This window comes from Homo sapiens, chromosome X (genome assembly GCF_000001405.40).
Source record: "Homo sapiens chromosome X, GRCh38.p14 Primary Assembly".
Classification (NCBI taxonomy): Eukaryota; Metazoa; Chordata; class Mammalia; order Primates; family Hominidae; genus Homo; species Homo sapiens.
The window spans coordinates 115,598,534-115,613,614 of NC_000023.11; the positions used below are offsets into that span (position 1 = coordinate 115,598,534).

At 37.1% G+C, this 15,081-nt stretch overlaps 1 protein-coding gene across 11 annotated transcripts in view; it reads left to right on the top strand.

The window, feature by feature from the left end:
• The window catches only part of PLS3 (plastin 3), an 89,688-nt gene that overhangs the window by 37,360 nt on the left and 37,247 nt on the right, over nt 1–15,081 (top strand). For 5 of the 11 annotated variants that reach the window (NM_005032.7, XM_047442171.1, NM_001282338.2 and 2 more), the window contains exon 2: nt 11,710–11,790. In NM_005032.7, the coding sequence (NP_005023.2) occupies nt 11,718–11,790 (73 nt within the window). In that variant the 5' untranslated portion in view covers nt 11,710–11,717. Of the gene's footprint in view, nt 1–3,682; nt 3,758–8,815; nt 8,837–10,121; nt 10,224–11,709; nt 11,791–12,269; nt 12,389–15,081 lie in introns of all 11 variants that reach the window. The other 6 variants (XM_047442172.1, NM_001440791.1, XM_047442169.1 and 3 more) reach the window with 5 other exon arrangements.

Sequence of the window (15,081 nt, forward strand, 5' to 3'; positions counted from 1 at the left end):
ACTCCTTTACCAAGATTCCGTGAAAGTTTTCTAAAATGAGTCAAGCAAAATTCCAAGCCACTTGTTCTTGAGAAAAATCTTGAAAGAAAAAATTTTTAAATGAAAAGTAAATCACATAGATACTTGAGTGTTTGTTTTATATTAAGACTAAGTTATTAGCACTGATACAATGGGAGTGGTTGTTCACAATACTTAGCATTCATGAGGCTGAAATTAAGCAGTATTAACAAAGAGAAGCAGAAGCCTGTCATATGTAGGAATGAATGTGTCATAGGAGAAAGTAAGCGTTTGTGTGCTTTTTTTTCAGAATATTGCCTGTTTTATGATCAGTGCCAATTTAACACCAATGTTTTAAATAAATGACTTTTAGAACTCTGTATGAGTCTTTACTGAACTCATTGTCTATATTCTGTATGTTTTATACAATTAAAGTTTTGGTTATTTTAGTTCAAGGCTTAAGTGAATCCCTTATCCTTTTAAATAATGAAAACAAGTTAGTATTAGCTGGAGGGGGTTACTATCTCCATTTTCTGGCAACTGTTCTTATTTCTCGATATCATGGTCATATTTGTTAGGAGCTTTTTAAGTTATTTTCCAAAGGCTATATATACTAGGCATGGACCTTCTCTCTGCAAAGCAATGTGTAGTCTCTTTGTTTTTGTTTTTCTGGGAAGAGTAGTTAATTGGCTGGGCACTGCAGCTCAAGCCTGTAATCCCAGCACTTTGGGAGGCTGAGGCAGGAGGATCACTTGAGCCCTGGAGTTTTAGACCAGCTTGGCAACATAGTGAGATCCTGTCTCTACAAAAAAAAAAAAAAAAAAGAAATAAAAATTAAAAATTAGCCGAGTATGGTGGTGCATGCTTGTAGTCCTAGCTACTGGGGGTGGGAGGTGCTGAAGCAGGAGGATCACTTGAGGCCAGGAGTTGGAGGCTGCAGTGATCATGCCACTGCACTGCAGCCTGGACATCTCAGCAAGACTCTATCTCAAAAAAAAAAAAAAAAGGAAAGAGGGAAAAAACAGTTAATTACCTTTCCTCCAACACATGCTTTTGCTTTTTTTTTTTTTTTCCAGCTATGCTTGGAGAAACACATTATTATTATTATTATTATTATTTTGAGGTGGAGTCTTGCTGTGTCGCCCAGGCTGGAGTGCAGTGGTCCAATCTCGGCTCACTGCAGCCTCCGCCTCCTGGGTTCAAGCAATTCTCCTGCCTCAGCCCCTTGAGTAGCTGGGACTACAGGCACGTGCAGCCAGGCCCTGTTAATTTTTGTATTTTTAGTAGAGACGGGGCTTCACCATGTTGGCCAGGATGGTCTTGATCTCTGACCTTGTGATCTGCCCGCCTCGGCCTCGCAAAGTGCTGAGATTACAGGCATGAGCCACTGCGCCTGGCTGAGAAATACATCTTTTTAATTGTGCTTCACAGCTTTGTGTCCTGGGCAAAGTCAACGACTATCCCAGGCACTTGTTTATTCCCTAATACAATTTAGGGAATGAAGTTATGGAACTCTACAGACTTCTTAGCTTTCAAATTCTCATTGCTGTGATCACTGGATATTGGGAATACTGGGAATTTTCACTCCCTCTAAACATTGCAGTTGGTTGGAGTATTTTATTCATTTTTTATGTTTATTTTTTTAGAGGCAGGCAACCATAGCTCACTGCAGCCTCAAACTCCTGGGCTTCAGTGATCCTTCTGCCCCAGCCTTCCTAGTAGCTAGGACTACAGGCTCAGGCCACCATGCTGGCTGATTTAATTTTTTTTTTTTTTTTAAGAGAAGGAGTCTCGCTATGTTGTACAGGTTGGTCCCAAACTCCTGGCCTCAAGCAGTTCTCCCACTTCTGCCTCCCAAAGCACTGGGATTATAGGCATGAGCCACCACCCTCAGCCTCAGTTGGTATATTTTGTAAACCATGCCTGTGTAACCAACATCCAGCAATGAGAGTAAAAGGTGAAGTTTAGACTGTTCTCCAGAAACAAACAATCATGAAATGAGACTTGCAAAGCAAAGAATTACACAAGTTTTTGTGTGCTGTTCGTGAAAGAAGGATTTTCTTTTATTGAAGAAGATTGTTCTCTTTGACCAAGTTTAAGAATCTATGTAAAGAAGGTAGATAAACTGAACCAAGTAGGACAATGGAAGTCCCAGTTAGACTGACTGTCCTCATATCCACTTATGTAACTATAGGGAGAAGTCTATAATTAAATTTCAAAATTTTGTGGCAAGATTCTAAATTCTCTGGGAGTTGAAGAGAAAGATCAGTGGGAGGTGGAGTCATTGGGAAACGTGCTTTGGGAGAGGATGAGGCTTCTGAACCTTGCTTGAAGGGTGAGTAGAATTTGGATAGAGAGAGAGGAAAAATAGAGGAGAGTATTCTAAGCATGAGACGCAGATAGAGAGAGAGGAAGTTCTTAATGGAAGACAGGAAAAGCAGAAGAGACCAGAATAAAACAAAAGGTACTGATAGAGGAGAATCCAGAACCAGCTGTAATAGAAACACAGTTCTGTGAGAGTACTGGGAAGATAAATTTTATCTTGGGTGCGGACAATCTGAAGATACTTCCTGAAATAGGCTTTTGAAGTGTCTAGATAGATGGGTGAAGAGCATTCCACTGGAGAGACCCAGTGGTCTCTCCAGGGAGTGGAAGAAGCGGGAAAATACATGGCCTGTTTGGGGAATAAGGTCTCTTGAGAGTGTTGGGTTCAAGGGTGTAGTACATATAATGGGAAGTAGCATTGGAAAGATGGGCAGACATAAAGCTAGAAGTCAAGTCAGAAAAGTGTAGGGCCTTGAATGCTGTCCTAAAAAGGTGGGACCTCCTTTTGCATGGAATGTTTATAAGATCCGCTCTTCAGGAGATTATCAGGAGATTAGCAGTGTAAAGATTGCACTGGAGGAAGACAGAACAGCAGGCAGATCTGATAAAAAAAAAAAAAAACTTTTGTGGGGTTGGGGGAGGGGGAAGGGATAGCATTAGGAGATATACCTAATGTAGATGACGAGTTAATGGGTGCAGCACACCAACACGACACATGTATACATATGTAACAACCCTGCACGTTGTGCACATGTACCCTAGAACTTAAAGTATAATAAAAAAAATATATAAAAAGATAAAAAAAAAACTTGTGGAGTAGGCCAGACATGAGGTGATAAACAGATATGACGGAAGAATCTCAGATATTGCAAGGCAAGAATCCAGAGGGATGGGTGGTTGACTGATCCTCCCTTTGTTTTTTATGGTCAAACTGCAGTCTGGAGACAGAGGAAAGTGGGAAAGTTGAAAACGAGACCTGATTTGGCAGAAGAAAGAGTTAGAAAAAAACAGGGAAAATAATGTGGCAGTAAGTTAGATTGGAGACACTTAGACTTTCCTAACTTGAATCGTCCTCACTGACTTTCCTTCTCCCTTGGCCACTTCTAAATTGGACCCTGATCTGCTGCTGCGAGTGTGTCTGTCACTAACACAAGGCACAATACCCTTACCAGTGATGTCTCTCTGAGAATGCCCTTACTGGGGATGTCTATCTGAGAAAATCCTACTTGCACTCAAAGACAGAGTTCAAGCCTCACCTCGGAAAAAACTTTTCTGACGCCTACCATTTAGTATATATGACTGTGATGGCATGATTGCACTAATGTTGTATCTTTGTTTTTCCATCTGTTTCCCCCACTAGACAGTAAGCTCTTCCAGAAAGAAGGGGATTTGGATCCTAATTGTCTCTTATCTGGAGCACCCAACACAGTGCCTGGTACATACTAAGCCTTAAGTTAATGCTTGATTAATATAAATAAATAAGTGGGTGAGTGTGGTAGACATTCAAGCTGGGAATCTTCTAAAGTCATTAGGAAACATGAGACTGGAGCTTTAGTAATCATAGTATGAATAGGTGAGTTTTAGCCCACAGTGTTGCACACCCATCTAAGCTAGAGACTAGTGTTGAGCTGTTCACTTACCTAACTAGGGAGGTGGCAGGGTGGCAGTTTCTATTGGTAAAGGTAGGTATGCAAAGTGTGGGTGTTCAAAAGCACTGCCTGTTTTGGATGGAGGAAGGTGACAACACCCCTTTTCTGATCATTCTTGAACTGTTCACACATAATGGTGGCTAACTTGTTTATTTTCATTTATAGTGAAATAATGTATTTCTTCCATGTTTTGTCCCCTCTTTGTTGCTTTCTTGTTCATTTTAGGACCTCAAGTATGTGTTGCCCAGTCTCTGATTTAAGTAATGAGCTTCTCTTTTCCAATTCTATTTACCATACTAGTGGCTGGGATGAAGCCTGTGGTGAATATCCTGTTTTTATCTTTTGGCTGCCTTTCAATTTAAAAAAAAAAAAAATCAAGTTTATGATCAAAGTTGGTTACCCCCAGATGAGTTTCCCACGTGCATTCTCTTTCTCCTGGACCTCATGGTACTGAATGACACAGATGAATAAGTAGATTATTCAGTCAGCTGCATTCCTAAAGTGAGTGAGTGCTTTAGGAGATAAAATAGGCACCCCCGTCCCCCTTCAAATACCTTTCAGAATTTGAATAATAGTTTCAGGTAGTTGTAGGTATACCTTTCTCAGCAAAGATCTGTGTTTAGGGTTTATGTATAGTTAAATGAGCCGGTGGAGTGGTTTCATAATTGCAGTATTGTTAGTCAAACTCTGTAATTAGAGATGACTTCATAGGCATAAGATTCTTCTATGGGTGACGCCCTGAATTCATACCCAATTGTACACTATATCCTTTTATGAAAAAACAAACAAACAAGGTTTTGTTTGCTTTTGTTTTACTCCCTTATTTGAAAATCTGTTTTCCTGTGTCTTATATGTTTAGTGAAGAAGGGCTGGCTTTTTTCTACAGCTTTCCCTTTTCCTTTACAGAAATGGCAGGCATAGGAGCTAAGGAGGAAACAGAATTTGGGACAGATCAAAGTGCTTTGCAGATGAGCGAATTCAGAAAAACGTAGAGACTCCAGGAGGTTTTATTTTTGATAAGTATTAAAATTGCTGAGTTTAAATGGAGGAAAAATATATCTCTATTTCTTTGAATGTCAGTTCTCTTTCTCTCTCCCTCTCTCTCATCATGTAAATAAAGTCCGCTTTTGCTTGGTGGCACACATCTGTATTCTCAGCTACTCAGGAGGCTGAGGCAGGAGGATTGTTTGAGCCCAGAAGATTGAGGCTGCACTGAGCTGAGATTGCACCACTGCCTGGGTGACAGAGTGTAACCCTGTCTCAAAAAGAAATAAACACATAAAGTCCACTTTTGTGGGAAGACAGACTGGGAAAGAGGACATATTTGAAAATCAGGGTTTTTTTCCTTTTGCCTGTCAATCACATATTGTGAAATCGGGGTTAAACTTTTATTCAGCAAGTAATACTTTCTCTTCACCTTTTTCTAGTACTCATGAAAAAATTTGCAAATTAGGAGGAATGTGACAATATTGACAAGCTGTTAGCTATTTTGAAAAGTGATCCTAAAATATTTAAAGAAAAATTGTTGTTTGTTTGTATATCTCCTGTCTGCTCTTTAAATTGTGTTTAGAAACTGGCCTTACGGAGGAACCAAATTGAGTCATGGATAAAAAGTGACTGACAGGTTTTCCTTTAGGCCCATCCTTCTTAAATTACTTTGACTAAAGACTTGTAATTTTTATATATGAGGGAGACCTATTATACTCTGTAGTCAGTAATTATAGGGAGATGAGATAACTTTTCATTTATCCCATGTAAAAGGCTATTAGTAGAACTAATGCCTTATATTTATTTATACAGCTCTTCACAATTAACCCAAGCATTCATTTATTCCCTATTTTCTTTCATGAAGGATTTGAAGTTGCTATGTAATACTTCATAGTTCACAATATGCTGTCATACATACCATCTGTAATCTTCATTAGGACCTGGGGGAAGTAGGTATTATTATCACTATTTTCAAATGAGGAAACTTAGGCTGAGACAGATTAATTAAACTTGCTCATGGACACATTACTAGGGAATAGCAGAACCAGAGCAATAATCGATGCCTTCTAATTTCACGTCCAACATCTTTCTGTTAAAACATACTACAACCTTGGGCGCGGTACAACAGCTTGGTGTACTGGTACTTGAGATTAAATGAAGTGTCTACAGGGCAGTATTGATGTCAAATCTTGTGTTTTGCTTTGTGAACCCATCCGGGATGTTTTAGTAACTTTAAGGGAAAAAAGTCCTATAGTACAATGAATGCCCCATGAAGAGGAATAGAGCTTCTGTTATTTTAATTTGTAAGATCTTTATTTTTTAATATCTTCACTCATTTCCAAGTTACTTAATGTGATGTTTTCTCTCAAGATAGTACTTTACTGCTTGACTTCCTTAAAGACACCATCAAGTACCTATGAGTAGTCTTAAGGACAGACCATTTTTTAATTCATAGTGGCATAAAGAAATCTACATTAAACAACTTTATTTTAAGCTTCAAATGGCAAAATGTACAATTGTATCAGCTAGAGCATATATTGTGAGCTTTTTAAATTTGGCTTTATATTTTTTAGTCTTGGCCCAGGTACTTCAGAGTAGCATTTCTTTATTTCCTTTCAAATAACTGTCAATAAATGAATATGGGTTTATTTAAATTGGAAAGTCCTGCATTAAACTATTCTGTTATCCTGAAACAACCTTGTCTGGAAATACGGTTTTAAGGATATGTGCATGTTCCAATTCCTTCTTTTTGTTCTCATTGAAGTGTATCTCTTTAATGTCTCTGATAGATGGGAAATCTGAGTTACATATGCAAAGTCACTTTAGGCTTTTTAAAAGGCAATTAGAAATAAGAAACTTGAAAATTTTAAAATATATGTTTAATGCACTGGATTAATTTTTGGACTAAACTGGTGCCCTAAAATTATTTCTATGAGATCTAAGCATTTCTTAATTCATTTTTATTTTTTACTTTTTTTATTGAGACAGGGTCTTGCTCTGTCACCCATCCTGGAGTGCAGTGACGTTCTCATGGCTCACTGCATCCTCTACCTCTCGGGCTCAATCGGTCCTCCCACCTCAGTTTCCCAAGTATCTGAGACTACAGGCATGTGCCACCACCCACGATGCCCAGTTAATTTTTTGTATTTTTGGTAGAGACGAGGTTTCACCATGTTGCCCAGGCTGGTCTCGAACTCCTGAGCTCAAGCGATCTGCCCACCTCCACCTCCCAAATTGCTGGGATTACAGGCATGAGCCAGCACTTGCTAATTTTATAGGAAGAAAAAAAGAACTGCGTTTCTGGCCACTCTGAGAAGAAATTAATAATCCTTAAAGTCTCTAGAGACTTTTTTCTTCTAAAAAAATGGATATTTGTACCTTTTATTGCAGTCACTAATTCACTTTATGTCATATTGTAATTATTCATGTTTGCTTCGCAGATTGTAAATTCCTTGAGGGCAAGAACTAGGTGTATAGCAGATGTCTAAAATATTGGTAAAATTGTTTGAGAAGTAGCGGGGAGGGGCAGGTTGGGGAGAAAGAGATTTCTACAGGATTTAATCAGAACCCAACTGGTCAGCAGGGATAAGGGGGGCGGGGGGCAGGAATGGTTTATGTCCAGAACCATCTTATCTAATTTCTTTTTTTTTTCTTTCTTTTTTCTTTTCTTTTCTTTTTTTTTTTTTTTTTTTTTTTTTGCAGTGATGCACTGATGGCTCACTGCAGCCTCGACCTCTCAGGCTCAAGTGATTCTCCCACTTCAACCTCCAGAGTAGCTGGGATTACAGGCACGCACCACCACTCCTGGATAAGTTTTGCATTTTTGGTAGAGACAGGGTTTCACCACGTTGGCCAGGCTGGTCTCGAACTCCTGGGCTCAAGTGATCTGCCCGCTTTGGCCTCCCAAAGTGCTGGGATTACAGGCATGAGCCACTGCACCCAGACCTAATTTTCTTTTGCATAGAAGTGATATGGTAGTGTGAGAGTAAGCTCAGTTGTATAGGTTTGTTTTAGTTGTTTTTTACCCACATACTTTAAATTATTACTGACTCACTATCTGCCCAAACTGGAAAGGACCTTTAGAGATAAAGGAGAGAGGCCACATGTTTTAGATTTCTGAGATGGTCTTACTTTTAAATTTTCTGTGCCATTGTTCTCCTTGGTGTGTGATTCATGGAGATGTGTAATAATTCTTTATTAAAAACATGATTGCTTAAAAGGGGTGAAGAAAATTGGAATAAATCCTATGTCGTATTTTTGTAATGGGGAGTGTTGAACATATTAGTGAAACAGAATATTTTTAGAATTACTACTATTCGTTTGCATTTAACTTACGAATTTTAAAAAAAAATTTTTTTGGAGGCGAGGTCTCACTATGTTTCCCAGGCTTGTCTTGAACTCTTGGCCTCAAGCAATCCTCCCGCAGTGCTGGGATTGCAGTTCTTTTTATTCTTAATCTTTAAAATGCCTAACTTCAGGCCTGGGCGTGGTGGCTCATACCTGTAATACCAGCACTTTGGGAGGCTGAGGTGAGTGGATTGCTTGAAGCCAGGAATTCAAGATCAGCCAGGGCAAAATGGTGAAACCCCATCTCTACAAAAAATACAAAAATTAGCCAGGCATGGTGTCCCACGGCTATAGTCTGAGCTACTTGGGAAGCTGAGGAGGGAGAATCACCTGGGAGGGAGGAGCCTGGGAAGTCAAGGTCGCAGTAAGCCGTGATCTCACCACTGCACTCCAGTCTGGGCTACAGTGTAAGACCCTGTCTCAATAAACAAACAACAACAACAACAACAAAAAAAAAACCCACAAAGCCTAACTTCATTACTAACTGAAGAACTTTCTTTCCCTCATAGATCCTGAGATTACTCTGAAAGGTATTTTCATCCAACCTGTCTACTGAGAAGTTATCCATCTTTAGTGGCATCTTGATATCATACATAAGAAAAGTTTATGAATAGGCCAGCTTTGTTTTATATCTTTTTTAAAGAGTCTAGTGTTATTTAATTTTTTTTTTTTTTTTTGAGACAGAGTCTCACTCTATCACCCAGGCTGGAGTGCAGTGGTACGATCTCCGCTCACTGCAACCTCTACCTCCCAGGTTCAAGCGATTCTCCTGCCTCACTCAACCTCCCGAGTAGCCGGGATTACAGGCACCCGCCATCACACTTGGTTACTTTTTGTATTTTTAGTAGAGACAGGGTTTCACCATGTTGGTGAGACTGGCCTCGAACTCCTGACCTCAAGCAATCCACCCGCCTCCACCTCCCAAAGTGCTGGGATTACAGGCGTGAGCCAGTGCGCCTGGCTGATGGTTTTATTTAATTTTTAAAACACCAGTCACTGTATGTGTCTGTTACATTATGGTAAAAACTTAGCTAATAGCATCATATGGTCATTTTAAAACTTCTCCAGGATTTGAGAAACCTGAGTGTGAATTCCAGTCCTGAGAGCCCAGGTCTTCTAATAGGAAAAAAAGGAGATTAGAATATTTAGCTCATAGGACTATTGTGAGGGTTTAGGAAATTAATATGCAAATGAATTTGTATAATGTATTAATAATACTTGGTGCATAGTTGTTGAAGGGATTAATTTTATTAAAGTTCTGTTTTATTGAGTGCCTTACTATGTGCCAGGGGCTGTGATAAATTCTAGAAATAGCAACAATTCTGTGAAAAAGATAGATGTAGCCCAGCTCTCTTATGAATCCCTCCCTACCACTTCCAGCCCCTACCTCTCTATACTGAGTGTTACACTTCTTGGCCAAAACATAAGTTGGTGAGTAATTTGTTGCCTTTTAATAAAATGTCTAAAAGGGATAAATGTAAGATCTCAAAATGTATTTTGTATAGTTTGTGAAATTTAACCCGTAGTATATTTTTTTGGAAAGGCAACATCTTTAGGGCAGTGGAACTACTCTATGTAATATGTTAATGGTGGATACATGTCATTATACATTTGTCCAAACCCACAGATTATACAACACTAAGAGTGAACCCTAATGTTCACCAGAGTCTTAGGGTGGTAATGATGTAAGTTCATCAGTTGTAACAAACGTACCACTCAGGTACAGGATATTTTGGTCAATGACTGATCGAATGTATGATAGTAGTCGCATAAGATTATAATACTATATTCTTACTGTACCTTTTCTATGTTTAGATATACGGATACCATTGCATTACAATTGCCTACAGTGTTTACTACAGTAACCTGCTGTGCCATTTGTAGCCTAAGAGGAATAGGCCATACCGTATAGTCTAGGTGTGTAGTAAGCTATACCATCTAGGTTTGTGTACGTGCACTCTTTGATGCTTGCACAATGGCAAAATCACTTGACAATGCATTTCTCAGAACACATCTCTGTCTTTAAGCAACACTTGGCTGTATTTGGGAACTCTCTGTAACTTCTGCTTGATTTTGCTGTGAACCTAAAACTACTCTAATAATAATGTCTATTGGCCGGGTACGGTGGCTCACACCTGTAATCCCAGCATTTTGGGAGACCGAGGCGGGAGGATCCCTTGATCCCAGGAGTTAGACACCAGCTTGGGCAAGGTGGCAAGACTCTGTCTTTACAAAAAAAGAGAAAGAAATAAAGAAAAATAAAGTCTACCAAAAAAATAAATCAGAAGAGAGAAAAAACCCAAAACAAAAAAGGAGAAAGGAACATGTAATCATTTTCATTTTTCTTTGTCCAAAATTATTGTTATAATAGGTTTGCATTTGGAAATTATCTACTGTGATACAGACCTCCTCTCTTTATTGCCAGGATCAGCAAAGTTTTTCCATATAGGTTCAGATCATAAATATTGTGTGCCAAGAGGTAAAATCAAGAATATTATGATATTAATATCAAGGATATAATATATTATTTCTATCAGTTTTTATTGACAAAATTCAAAATATAATAATTGAGTACAATTTTTTGGTAATACAATTCTGATAAGAATAGAATTCTTTTTTTCTGGGATAACATTTCACTTAATTGGGTTCAAAGTTAATGTGCCCCCATCATCAAAATGGACTGCAAAAATTTTCCTTTAATAACCATATCCAGCTTGAGGTCATACAAAAACAACTGGTGATCCAGTTTTGGCCCACAGGCCATATGTAGTTTGCCAACCTTTGTTCTGTTAGTTAAATAGATCAATAAGGCCAAATTGGAAAGGGTGTATACTCAGATAATATAATAATTTACATGCATAAGAATGTGTATATTAGCACACATGTGCATTTTTATATCAAAACCAGCTATAATTTGTTTTGTTTCCTCTTTATTCTTCCTTTAATGAGAGTGATTGATAGATGTCAGTATGCTATTTGAAAATCAATGTCTTCACAGTGAATGATTCTAAAGTGGCTTAATGGGAAAATGATACTTTCCGTGAATCATTGGTCACATAATATTGACCTTTAGCTTTGGCTCATATAACCAAGAATTTCTATTATGTAGCTTTTTCCTGTCACTGCTGGGTACTTTGGCCCTTCCTTAAACTTTTTGAATGTAATTTAAGATTTTGTCCTTAGAAGGAAAATTCAGAAATATTTTTTCTCAATAAATTTTGGTAAGTGATGACTTCTCATTTGTTTTCTTTATTAAAGCTGTATGTAGAGACATGGTAACCTATTCAGATTGTTTTGATAGTTTGAAATTCTGTTTAAATTATCCCTAAGATGAGAACTTAGCAAGAGTGCTTATATTTATCACAATTTTTTAAAGTCTGAAACGTTTTTGGTTTTTCTTTAGATCTTTAAATGGATGAGATGGCTACCACTCAGATTTCCAAAGATGAGCTTGATGAACTCAAAGAGGCCTTTGCAAAAGTTGGTGAGTATTTTTTGTAGTAAAACTATAGGGAAGCAATATTTATTTGGTCTCAAAGTTATTTCTCTATAAATATCACATGAATGGTTAATCAAAAACATTAGGGCAAGATAGTTAAAATAGATGGGATAAAGTTTTGGAAGCTATACTTAAAATTGTTTTATTTCTTTTTTTTTTTTTTGGTCGAGTGGTAGCTGATATTATTTCCAATTTTATGTAGTATTTAATATGGTCAAATTTTTTAGACCACAGTTCCAATCCTTAACTGGTGACTGTTATGTATGGTTCCTGAAATTTTCATGCCAAATTTTAGTTATTATTATATTTTGTATCTCATATCTTTCTGAAGAGGTTTGAAACTTTCACCATATTCTCAAAGGGATATGTGACCCTCGAAAACATTAGATGATGTTTTACCCTTCCTTAATTAGTTTGGCGTTATTGACTTTTTTATGGGTTTTCTGTGCCTTTGGTTACTGCAGATCGTTCTACCTCGCCACGTTAAATTATAGCTTCAGTATAAGATGAGAAGGCATAGCATGCTATTTGATTTATCCTTTATCATCATATAACATGCCTTACAATTGAGCAGCTATGGAAGGTAAATATGGAGTATTTACATTCCAAATTTTAGTGCTTGGGTCAAGTCTATAGACAATAATGAGAAAACAGGGTGAGAACAGCCTACTTATGTAAATACATGAATCAACATGTGCTTAGAGAGGTAGATTATTATTATTTGGTATCTCCTTGACTGAAGGGTACAGAATTAGCTCATATGATGATTTGTTATGTAAATCAGAATTTGCCGTTAGACCTGTGTCGAAAATCCCATTAGTGGAAAATGAGGAAATATACATTTCTGTTCCCATATATTTATGATCAACATTTTCTATGAAGGCATTCAGTAGTAGCAGTGTACCTTGGGAAGAATAATGACCCCAGCCAGAGTGACCATTCATAATCCCATCAAAATTTTAACTAGAAAAAACTGAATATTCCTGAATCTAACATGATCGCGCGCACGCGCGTGTGTGTGTGTGTATAAAAATAGCAGTTAATTACCTTGCCATGGATACCACTTACTGTAAGAAAAATGCTACATAGTTTAATATATAACAGCAAGTGAATTCTTGGCTGCAAGAGTTTTTTTTTTTCAAAATGACTCTCATTCAGTCAAAATAGTCTTATAATTGTTTTAGGAGTGCATTTTTGAACCTTTTTTAAAATTAATATTCATCTTTCAGCATTAGCAGCAGCTTAATTTGTTATTTATGAATAGAATTTCAGAGTAGGCACCATGCCTTATTAAGTACTCATCTCCTCAAGTAAATGCTGAATACAGGTCTTGTCCTCATGTGCAGCATCTTGGAAATAATTACGTGCAATATTCCTTAAAAATTAAAGTTAATTCAGATATTGTTTACCTGATGAGACTTGGAATACATTTGACGAGTAAAAGAACTTCATTGTCCCTTAAAAGCTTAATGACATAAAGAGGATTGACCAATTATCTTCATAGAGGAAGGAGTTAAATTGTATTAAGTAAGGGATCAATGAGAAGTTTGACTGCAAGAAAAGGTCATTGTGGAGCTATTGTTTAAGTAGAGTTTAAGATAGGCGTACAGTTTGCCAAAGCCCCTGCCAGGCATATGTTCCTAACATACTCAGGCTCTTATTACTATATATGCTGTAAAGAATTCTGGAATCCAGAATTTCTGCCTATTGTGAATATTATTCTTTTGTAGTCTCCACTCAGTATCTAGCATAGTGTTGCACACATGTTAGGTTCTCAGTAAATATTTCATTGATTGAAACCCAAGGAACTATATACATAGCCTTTTGATGTACTGGGATTTTTGTCATTATCAACCATACATTCAGAGGGCCTTTGTTGTGAAGATTTTCATTACAGTGGAATTTATTATTAAAGGTTTTTGCCATTAAATTGTAGCATATAAAATTTATATATATTTTTCAGCATAATAAAAGCTTGTGTGTACACTCCATCTTTTAGAAACTCATTTAAGGACCCAGCCGAGTCTTTCGATTTTCTTTAAAAAATCTTTGTAGTTTTAAGTTGTTGTTACTTACAGAACCCTCAGGCAACCGTCAAAGGTGTTATAGAATTTTTTTTCTAATTCAGGGACACTTTATTTTAAAAACAAGCTCTATAACTTATTATCCTGTGAAGGACAGTTTTTCCTTTTTGTGGGGGTGGGTTGGCAGAGAATAGGAAAGACTACTTTGTCTCAGTTCAATTGCGACAAAATATGGAAATCATTAGATGATTTTCCCCATCTATTAACAATAATAGCCTTGATTATCTCCTTAGAAATTCAGCAAAATCATAGCGTGTGGAGAAAATCTCTGTAATTACTGCTAATCATAGGTTTTGTTCAATCAATTAATAGTGCTTTGAAACTCTCTTTACTAGCAATAAATTGAGTATTAGAATTTAAAGTTCTCTTTTCACTCACTTTCTGCACCTGCTTAGTTTTAAGCTCCAAGCTCATGTAATTATTTTAATTTTCTCAACAATTGTTTCCAGTGCTTCCCAGTAGCAGAAACGTTAGTTATCAGTTTTTGTACTTCATGATGTTTCAAATTTAATTTAAATGCTGTAATACATAACTATTTCTAAAGAAGAATAAATAAAACCTTTCAAAACACTTAGGTATTAATATTTTACCATCTAGAAACTGTCTTTTACATTCTAAGCCTTTAATCTTGCTATGGAAACTAGTGGTCATTTGGATGATTACTTGTCATAAAGAAAAATTCATGTAATGTAAACCTTTGCAGAGTTGCTTTAGTACTGCAAACACTTACCTTGCCTTGCCTTTTTTCCCTCCTGAGCACTCACTACTGAGGTTTTTTAAACATGAATTCAGCACTTTTGAAATAAAAGAATAATGGGTTTCTTAAATGACTAGGAATAGTATGGGTGTATTCCTTTGAGGTTTCCCACCAAACTAAGCAAAAAAAAATTGGTTGTGGTGATTGTAGCTATACCAGACTTCTCTCATCCTAGGAAGTTGAGTTGTTTCAAATTACTTGATATTCGCTAGTATATAAAAACCACATCAGGATGATGCCACAAAAAAAAACAGTGCTTTAGTTTAATTTACTTTCAGTATTCAATAAAAGAACACCAGTGCATATTTGTTTAATTATGCCTTAAAACAAAAACAAAACTATAGCCCGTCTAAAAAAAATGAAACTAATCAGTGCTCTTTCATTGTGCCATCTGGTTAATTATATATGGATTATTAGAAGTGGAGGTCTCGGGAT